The sequence below is a fragment of the Homo sapiens genome, chromosome 8 (genome assembly GCF_000001405.40).
Source record: "Homo sapiens chromosome 8, GRCh38.p14 Primary Assembly".
Classification (NCBI taxonomy): Eukaryota; Metazoa; Chordata; class Mammalia; order Primates; family Hominidae; genus Homo; species Homo sapiens.
In genome coordinates this window covers 108962939-108972723 of record NC_000008.11, presented here as the reverse complement: position 1 = coordinate 108972723, position 9785 = coordinate 108962939, and the positions used below count along the sequence as shown (strand labels likewise).

The window sequence follows — 9785 nt, the reverse complement described above, 5'->3', positions numbered from 1 at the left end:
TGTCATGACACTGGTCGGACCTACCCCGCAGAGCAGTGGCAGGATCCCCTGCACAATTTCCTGCACCCAGGGGAAAGGGCAGTTCAGCACACTGAGGAGGCTGCCTCCAGGACAAAGGGAGGCAAAGAGCACTCTCCAGAGCTGGAAACCTACCTGTCTGCATGTGGCGACTGCCACTGACAACAACCCCACCCTTATCAGTAGGAGGCGACAGTGCACCTGCGTGCTCCCTGACACCACCACCACCACCACCACCACCACCACTGCTACCAGGGGCCAAAAGGCACACTCTTCAGAGCCTGAGAGCCACCTGTCTGGGGCATCCACCACAAACCACTGCCTCCCCTGTCCCACTCCTCCAGCAGCAGGGCCCCCTTGCACATGCATGCACCCTGAGGAAAGGTTCTCTCTTTCTTTGCTGCAGCCGCCACCTGAGCAATAAATATGGTACATCACATCAGTACAATGAAGGACAAAAACCCTGTGATCATCTCAATAGATGCAGAAAAGTATTTGATAAAATCAGCATCTCTTCGTTATAAAAACTCTCAATGAATTAGGCATAGAAGAAAAGTATCTCCACATAATAAAGGCCAAATGTGACAAACACACAGCTAACATTATAATAAATGAGGAAAAGCTGAAAAGCCTTTCTTCCAAGAAATGGAACTAGATAAGAATGCCTACTTTCATGACTCTTATGCAACGTAGAACTGGAACTCCTAGCCAGAGCAATCAGTCAAGGGAAGGAAATAAAATGCATCCAAAATGGAAAAGAGGAAGTCAACTTGTCTCTCTTTGAAAATGACATAATTTTATATATAGAAAAACCTACAGACTATCAAAAAACTCTTAGATCTGATAAATAAATGTAGTAAAGTTGCAGGATATAAGATTAATATACAAAAATCAGGAGTGTTTTTATATACTAATAGCAACCTAGCTGAGAAAGAAATCAAGAAAGCAATCCCACTTACAAAAATTGCAAAAAAAAAAAAAACCACCTAGGAATAAATTTAACAAAGAGCTGAAAAAACTCTACAAGGAAAACTAGAAACACTGATGAAAGAAATTGAAGCAGACACAAACAAATGAAAAGATATCCCATGCCCATAAATTGAAAGAATTAATATTATTAAAATGACCATACTACCCAATCTACAGATTCAATGCCATCAAAATACCAGTGACATTTTTCACAGAAATAGAAAAAAAACACACCAAAAATTTGTATGTAACAAACAAAAAGCCTGACTAGACAAAGCAATCATGAGCAAAAAGAACAAAGCTGGAGGTATCATACTATCTGATTTCAAAATATATTACAAGGCTATAGTAACCAACACAGCATGATATTGTTATAAAAACAGACACATAGACTGATGGAACAGAATAGAAAATCCAGAAATAAAACCACGTTTATAGACAACTGATCTTCCACAAAGCTGTCAAGAACATACAATGAGCAGAGGATACTGAAACGATGCTGGGAAAACTGGATAACCATATGCAGAAGAATGAAACTGCACCGCTATCTCTCACCATATACAAAATCAACTCATGATGAATTAAAGACTTTAACATAAGACCTGAAACTATAAAACTACTAAGAGAAAAAATAGGGAAAACACTCTAAAACATTGATCTAGGAAAAGACTATGGCTAAGACCCCAAAAGCATAGTCTACAAAAACAACAAATAGACAAATGGGACTATATTCAACCAAAAATCTTCTGCACAGTAAAGGAAACAATAATTAATCAACAGTGCAAAGAGACAGCCTGTGAAATGGGAGAAAATATTTGCAAACTATTCATGCCACAAGGGACTAATATCCAGAATATACAAATAACTCAAACAACCCAACAGAAAAAAATAACAAATAATTTCGTTTAAAAATAAGGAAAGGATATAAATAGATATTTATCAAAAAAGATACACAAATTGCCAACAGGTATATTAAAAAATGTTCAATATCACGAATCATTAGAGAAATGCAAATCAAAACCACAATAAGATGTTATCATACTCCAGTTAGAATGGCTATTGCTAAAAAGAAAAAAATAAAATAGATGCTGGAAAAGATGCATAAAACGGGAACTCATTTACTGTTTGTAGGAATGTAAATTATTACAGCCATTACGCAAGACAGTATGGAGATGTCTCAAAAAACTAAAAATAAAACTACCATACAATCCAGCAATTCCACTACTGGGTATTTATCCAAAGGAAAATAAATCATTATATCAAAGGAGTACCTGCATCCCCAACTTTTATTGCAGCACTATTCACAATAACAACGAAAAGGAATCAACCTAAGTGTCCAACAACAGATAAATAGATTTAAAATGTGGCATATGTACACAATGGAATACTATTCAGTCATAATAAAGAATGGAATCTTGTCCTTTGCAGCAATAAGGTTAGAACTGGAGGTCATTATGTTAAGTGAAGTAAGCCAGATACAGAAAGACAAATATCACATATTCTCACCCATATGTGGGAGATTACAAAAAGAAGTTGATCTCCTAGAGGTAGAGCGTAGAATGATAGTTAACAGAAGCTGGGAAGGGTGTAGGGGAGGCAGAGGGGGTGAAGAGAGGTTGTTTAATGGATACAGTTAAATGGAAGGAATATATTCTAATGTTTGATAACAGACTAGGGTGACTATAGTTAACAACAATGTATTGTGTGTTTCAAAGCAGCTAGAAGAGAGGATTCGATACATTCCCAACACATAGAAATGATAAACGCCCCAGGTGATGGATACCCTAAATACTCTGACTTGATCTACACATTTGTTCATGTAACAAAATATCACTTGTACTTCATAAATATGTACAAATAGTATGTATCAATACAAAATATAAGAAAGTGTTTCAAAAGACAAAAACATAAAGCTGAGAGGTTTATTTTAGAAGTCTATATAAAATCCACTGTATTTCCTCAGATCAGGCTGTACTTTATATTAGAAAAACCCAGAAATAGAAAAATCTGAATAAAACAGTTCCGTTATAACAAAGTATTTTCTTGTGTGAGGTGTTCAATGTGCTTCGACAAATTCATTTGATTAATAATTTAAAAGATTGATAAGAAGATTGTGAGCCAATATGTCTCATTAGTAGCCTACTGCCCGTTAGAAATGCATTTGTGTTCTCTGAAATAAAATTTTAAAAACAGGCAGAGGCTTTTATGAATTGAGACTAAAACCTCTTTTCAGAATGAGAAAGTTGTCCTTGAGCAACCTGAGGTTAAAAGCCAAGTTTTCTTATTGTCAAGCTATTGGGTGCATGAATAAGGAAGGAAATATGTATTTAGCTATTTGTGTGGAAGTTTTGTTATCCCAGTAAGTCATTGAAAAATATGTATAAAGAGATAACTGCTTTCCTATTTGACTTTATATTTACTATGCAGAATTTAAGTATGTATTGTAGTTTTTGTTTTCTAACTTTCCCTGAGATACATTTTTAGTCTTAATGAAAGTAATTTTATAGATTTATTTTTCCTGAACCCTACAACTTTGTCCACACATACTCAATACCTAAGTTCCCTGACTGCAGTATTTACTGTACTGACTCTGCATATTCATAGCATTCAAGTCCCCAGGCCCCTACTCTTAACCTTGAATGTGGTTTTTCTAGGGTGCTTCATTGCTTCCAAAGCACTCTCACATTCTAACCAAAGTCATAGGCTTTTCTTTCCCTTATTCTTTTTAGTTTTTCATCTCACCCTTTCCTCCTTCTCCATGCTCCACTTTTGGTGGAAATTGTTCACTTAAATACCCCCCAACACTCCCAGTAATAATAAACAGTTCACAGTTGCCTAGTGTATTAGTCTGTTCTCACGTTGCTAATAAAGACATATCTGAGACTGGGTAGTTCATAAAGAAAAGAGATATAATTGACTCACAGTTCAGCATGGCTGGGGAGTCCTTAGGAAACTTAACAATCATGGCGGAAGGGGAAGCAAACACATCCTCTTCACATGGCGGCAGGAAGGATAAGTGCCTAGCAAAAAAAGGGAAAAGCCCCTTATAAAACCATTAGATTTCATGGGAACTCACTCACTGTCATAAGAACAGCAGCATGGGGGTAACTGCCCCCATGATTCAGTTACCTCCCACTGGGTTCCTCTCATGACACGTGGGGGTTATGGGCACTACAATTTAAGATTAGATTTGAGTGGGCACACAGCCAAACTATATCACCTACTATCTACTATGTGCCAGGAACCGAGTGCAGTGCATGGATAATTCATTTACTTTTCACAACAACCCTATGAGGTCATTGCTATTGATTATTATCCACATTTTAAAGAAGCACAGAAAGGTTAAGTCACTTTCTCAAGAACACACAGCCAGTTAGTGGTAAAGCCAGGATTTGAGTCCAGGTAGTCAGGTTTCAGAATCCATGACTAGTATACAAATAATGGATTATTCAAAACAATATGCATGGAAGTGATGTATAATAACCCCACAGAAACTTCTAGCAAACCTCCATGCTTTTTCTTTCCCTTGGTCAGTTCTCTGAATGAAGACTATCCAGGGGAAGAATGCACAGTTCCAGGACTTGTATTAAATTGTGACATGAGTGAGATTTTGGGGCTGGGAGATGCTAAAAATAAAAATAAAAAAATGCCTTTAGCATCCCAGTTTAAGAGTAGAACAGCTTGGTTAGTACTCATTCATGTAAAGATGCTGGATTTAAAAATCATATGGTGGCAAATGATAATAAGAGAAAAATTTGGATGGTCAGGCGACACCCATTTACTGAAAAAAATGTTTAAAGACATTTTTATTCACATTTTAATTGTATCAAAATAACAGGTTCTTGAAATAGACCTTCCTTAAGGTCAACTCAGGCAAGGGCTTAAAGCGCACTGAGCACTGGCAGTCTCCCTCTTTCAAAGACACAAAGGAAGATTCAAGAGGTGATTCACAGTGAGAGCTGGAGCTGTAGTAAGTTGAATTGTCTGCAATGCTGAATGACTTACAACCATAAACCCAGTAAAATAAAAATAAGAAAGAGCAAATGCAGGGGAAACTACTACATAAGTGTTAGCACCATGTGACGTCTGGATTTAACTTCTAACAAGGTCCTTCGGCACTTCCAATGCTATACAAATGATATTTTGTAAATTTATTTTTAAAATTTCTTAGACATATACAGACCTTTGTAGCATTACAGAAATGCCTATATGTTGCATATATTATCATTTTTTTCCTGTTTTATTATTTTTTCCTCAGGACCAGCATCTCTCTTTACTTCTTCATCCCTATTATTTCTGCTATCCTAGCCAAACTCTTATCCTTCCACTTTGTGCTTTAAAAATAATATTCAAATATATACATATATGTCGGTGTATTTATATGAACCTAAAAATAAATGTACACATAAAATATAAACAAATTATGCATACATAGTCAAATATATGCACATATATTCACAACTATAAATATACATACACATTTGTATGTAAATATATATCTTGTACCATCAGTTAACTTCTTCCTTCTGTGCTCTCCACACCTCAGTTTGTAGAAATGAAAGGGGGACTCCAAAACTCCACATCCTGGCATAATATATGTCTTAGTCAGCTTGAGCTGCTATATTAAAATATTGTATACTGAGTGGCTTATAAACAATTGGAATTTACTTCTCACAGTTCTGGAAGCTGGAGGTCCAAGATCAAGTGCTGGAAGATTTGGTGATTGGTGAGGGCTACTTTCTGGTTCATAGACAGTGGTCTTCTAGCCATGTCCTCACATGGCAGAAAGGGTGAGGGAACGCCGTGGAGAATCTTTTATGAGGGAATTAATTCCATTCATGAGCTCTCAGCCCCCATGACCCAATTATCCCCTGTATTAGACCATTCTCGCATTGCTATAAAGAAATACCTGAGACTGGGTAATTTATAAAGAAGGGAGTTTTAATTGGCTTATGATCTGCAGGCTGTACAGGAAGCATAGCAGCTTCTGCTTCTGGGGAGCCCTCTGGAAGTTTCCAATCATGGCAGAAGGCAAAAGGGGAGTGAGGCACTTCACATGGCCAGGACAGGAGGAAGAGAGAGGTGGAGAAGTGCTACATACTTTTAAACAACTAGACTTCATGAGAACTCACTATCACGATGACAGCACCAAAGAGGATGATGTTAAACCACGAGAAACAACTTCCGTGGTCCAATCAATTGCCTCCCACCAGACCCCACCTCCAACATTAGGGATTATAATTGAGCATGAGATTTGGGTGGGGACACAGATCCAAACCATATCATCTCCCAAAGGTCTAATCTCTTAATACATTATCTTGGGCATTAGGATTTTAGCATATGAGTTTTGGGGAGACACACATGTTCAGGTCATTGCCATACACCCACTTCCTCCCTTCAACACTCACCTTCAAAGCCTGCCTCTTAGGTCATCAAAGCTAATCCCATCAACCTCTTTATCCCTATTTAATTGGTAACCACCAGTAGCTCAAGGACACCAGGCTTATCCTTCCTGACTTTGCTTCATATGACTTCATATATCCTCTGAAGTTCTGTCTCCTCACTTCTGTGCTCTCTGGGACTTAAGGTCTATCACTGTTCTCATTCTCTTTGAGTCTTCTTTTACCTGTGTATTAGTTTTCTGTGACTGTTGTAACAAATTACTACATACTTGGTGACCTAAAACAGCAGAAATTTATACTCTCACACTTCTGGAGTCCACAAGACCAAGTAAGTATCACTAGGCTGAAATGAAGGTGTCAGCAGGACTATGCCCCTTCTGGAGGCTCTAAGGAAAAACTTAGAAGTGAATTCTTCCCCAGTGGAGCCTTCAGAGGAGGTAAAAGCCCCAGCTAAAACCCTGACCGCAGCCAGTGAGAGACCCCCCAAGCCAGACCGGAGGACCCAGTGAAGCCTCATCCAGATTCTTAACCCACGGAAACTGTGAGATAATAAGTGTTGTTTCATGCCTCTAAATTTTAAGGTAGTTTGTTATATATCAAAAAGTAGCAATAAAAGAATAGAGCAGAGTATTTTTAAGACCAGCAAGTGTTTTATATCATATCTGTCTACATCCCAATGGCCAGAATTCAGTTTCATGGCCCAAACCAAATTACATGGAAAGTTGAGAATGTAGCCTTTCTATGTGCTTAGGAAGAGAAAAATAGTGTGGTACACACATGTATTGTCATGCTGCCATCTCTTCTCTGTATTGCAGCATTTTTTTCTATATATATATATTTTTTTCTTATTTCTATTTATAGTATCTTCTGCTATGAAATACTTTTTTTTAATTTTTCATAAGCACATATCTATATCTTATATTTTCTAGCTTCTGGGTTTCCAGAATTGATTTAGAAAGTCTCCATTAGCATTTGATCTGATATAAAGTCCATTCTATTTTCTTGCAGGAATTCTATTTTTCTTATTATTTTAGATAAGTTTTAAACTCATAGGTAATTTATTTTCATATTTGAAGTAGAATTGTGTTTTCTTTCACATGGTTAATGATGATAGATGACATCATTTGTTAATTTTCTCCCCACCCCAGTTGAACTACCGACTTAGTCACATAGATCTACTAAGTCATCATAGAGACTAGGATTTATTTCTAGATCCTCTTTTCTGACCTATTAATCTAGTGTCTATTACTGTGCCAATATGATATTGAGTGTTTTCTACTGTTTTCTGATATTTGTGAGGCAGGACTTCAACCCTACTTCATTCCTTTTTTGACGATTTTGGCAATTTTTTTCAGTGTAAAATTTAACATCATTTCATCTAAAATCCTATATGCACCCTAAATACCAAACAAAAAAATCATTTGAGTAGTCTGCCATAAATTAAATTTTAGTTTAATACTAATTTGGAGATAATATTTGTATACTTACATTATTTATATTTATTTTTCCTTCTCAGAAATGATATATTTTAAAATATTATATGTTTAAAAATATAACATATTCAATATGTATGTATATGAACTGAACTAACTTGAAAACCACTGCAGTATTCATCAGTTTCTAGCCCTTCTGCATTGTTTTCTGTCATGCTTTTTCTGCTATATATACAGATATTTATCTTTTCCCTATCTGTTTCTTAATTTGTTCCAGGGAAATAACACACCTTCCCTTGTGTCTTAATTTGCTCATCTCTGATTTGCATAAATAAAGCCTTGTACAGTGAGTACTTGTAGCACATTGAGAGGCATAGAGTGTTGTGGTCATGGCAGTATGGAACATTGGTTAAGACCACCTGGATTCAAATCTCATGTCTACAACCTTCTGGCTTTGTAATTTGGGGAAAATTATTTTCTCATACCTCAGTTAACTTTAAAATGGGGATAATAGTTTTTGTAGGGTTGTAAAGATTAAACTGATTAGTTCATGAAATAATTTAGAATAATGCCCAGCACAGACCATGATTCAATAGGTGTTATCTGTTTTCTTAAGGGTAGCAGGAGCAGGACATATTTGTTGAAATTCACTCTTCATTCTTTATATGTGCTTCAGAAACAATTATCTTCTATTAAATGGGAATAATTAAGGTATCAAATTGTTGTTTAGATTTAACTAGATGAAGTATTTGTTATATCTAAAAGGAATTTATAAATGTGAGATAGTTTGGTAATTTGCCTTTATTATAAAAAATGCTGAATTTGTTTACTCTTGCTTTTTAGTGATTCTGATAAATGCCCCATACAAATGTCCTTCTATTCCTCAGTAAAATTTAAGTGATTTCTGCAAGAAAAAATATTCAGCAACAGCAAATCAACTAAAGGTATATTTTCATTTTCTTTTATTTTTTAAGAAAATTAGTTATTTGGCTTCTTGTTAATTTTTCAATACTATCACTCAAGAAAAGGCATGTAGGTCTCACCTTAAACTGTTTTACTAAATCTACAACTTTGTATCAGCATTATTAGATGAAATGTTAATTAGCCTCAGGTGCCTGAACTATACCAAGAACTGTGCACCAATTTTTACCCCAGAGGTACAACACTCAAGCACAAATGAAGGTCAGATGTATCTGCAGAAAGAGAAATTAAAGAAAAATGTTTAATTTTCCCCCATTATTCTTATGTTTGATTTCATAGTTCAGTATATTAGTGTTTATGTGAAATAAGGGGAATTTTCTCTGATTTCTCTAATTTGTTTTAGAACCAACCCATCAAATCATGCCATTCATTCATCCATTTCTTCCAGTTTTCATGTATTTATTCAACAAGTGTTTACTGAGTGTCTGGTATCTTCTAGCCATCGCTCTAAGAACTAGAGAAACAGCATAAAGGAAACAAACAAAAGGGAAAACAACATCATCAAAAAACAAACTTTCTGCCATTGAGAAGTTCCGGAGGGAAATTCACACATTTAGTAAGTAAATAAATCCATAACAAAAAGCCCAGGAATCACAAATACTGTGCCCATTCAGAGAAAGTCATGCTGAGGGGGTATCATTTGGGCAGGAGTTTGTAGGAAGCTAGGGAACTAGTGCCAGGGAGCCCTGGAGGAAGTGATACAGACAGAGGACACCCATGTCAGAGGCTCTGAATATAAGTGGGCTCAGTGTGTTTGAAAAGCAGGAAGAAGGCCAATGAAGCTGAGCACAGGAGCACAGGGAAGAGCTCTGGGAGATAAGGTCAGAATGGGGCCTTGTAGATCAGGGTAAGAACTCTGGACTTTATAATACATAGAAAGGAAGCCATTGGATGGTCAGAACAGGGAGAGGGGTGTTCTGATTTGCATTTTAAGTGGATATTATCTTTATCCTTTGCCAAAATCATTATCTCTCCAATCTCC

General features: G+C 36.3%; 1 long non-coding RNA gene across 1 annotated transcript; it reads left to right on the top strand.

The window, feature by feature from the left end:
- Nucleotides 1-2457: 2457 nt before the first annotated feature.
- On the top strand, nt 2458-9393 carry LOC107984017 (uncharacterized). The gene is made up of 3 exons (XR_001745734.1): nt 2458-2534; nt 8666-8766; nt 9243-9393. It is a non-coding gene; the product is annotated as an uncharacterized LOC107984017 (long non-coding RNA).
- Nucleotides 9394-9785: the final 392 nt, after the last annotated feature.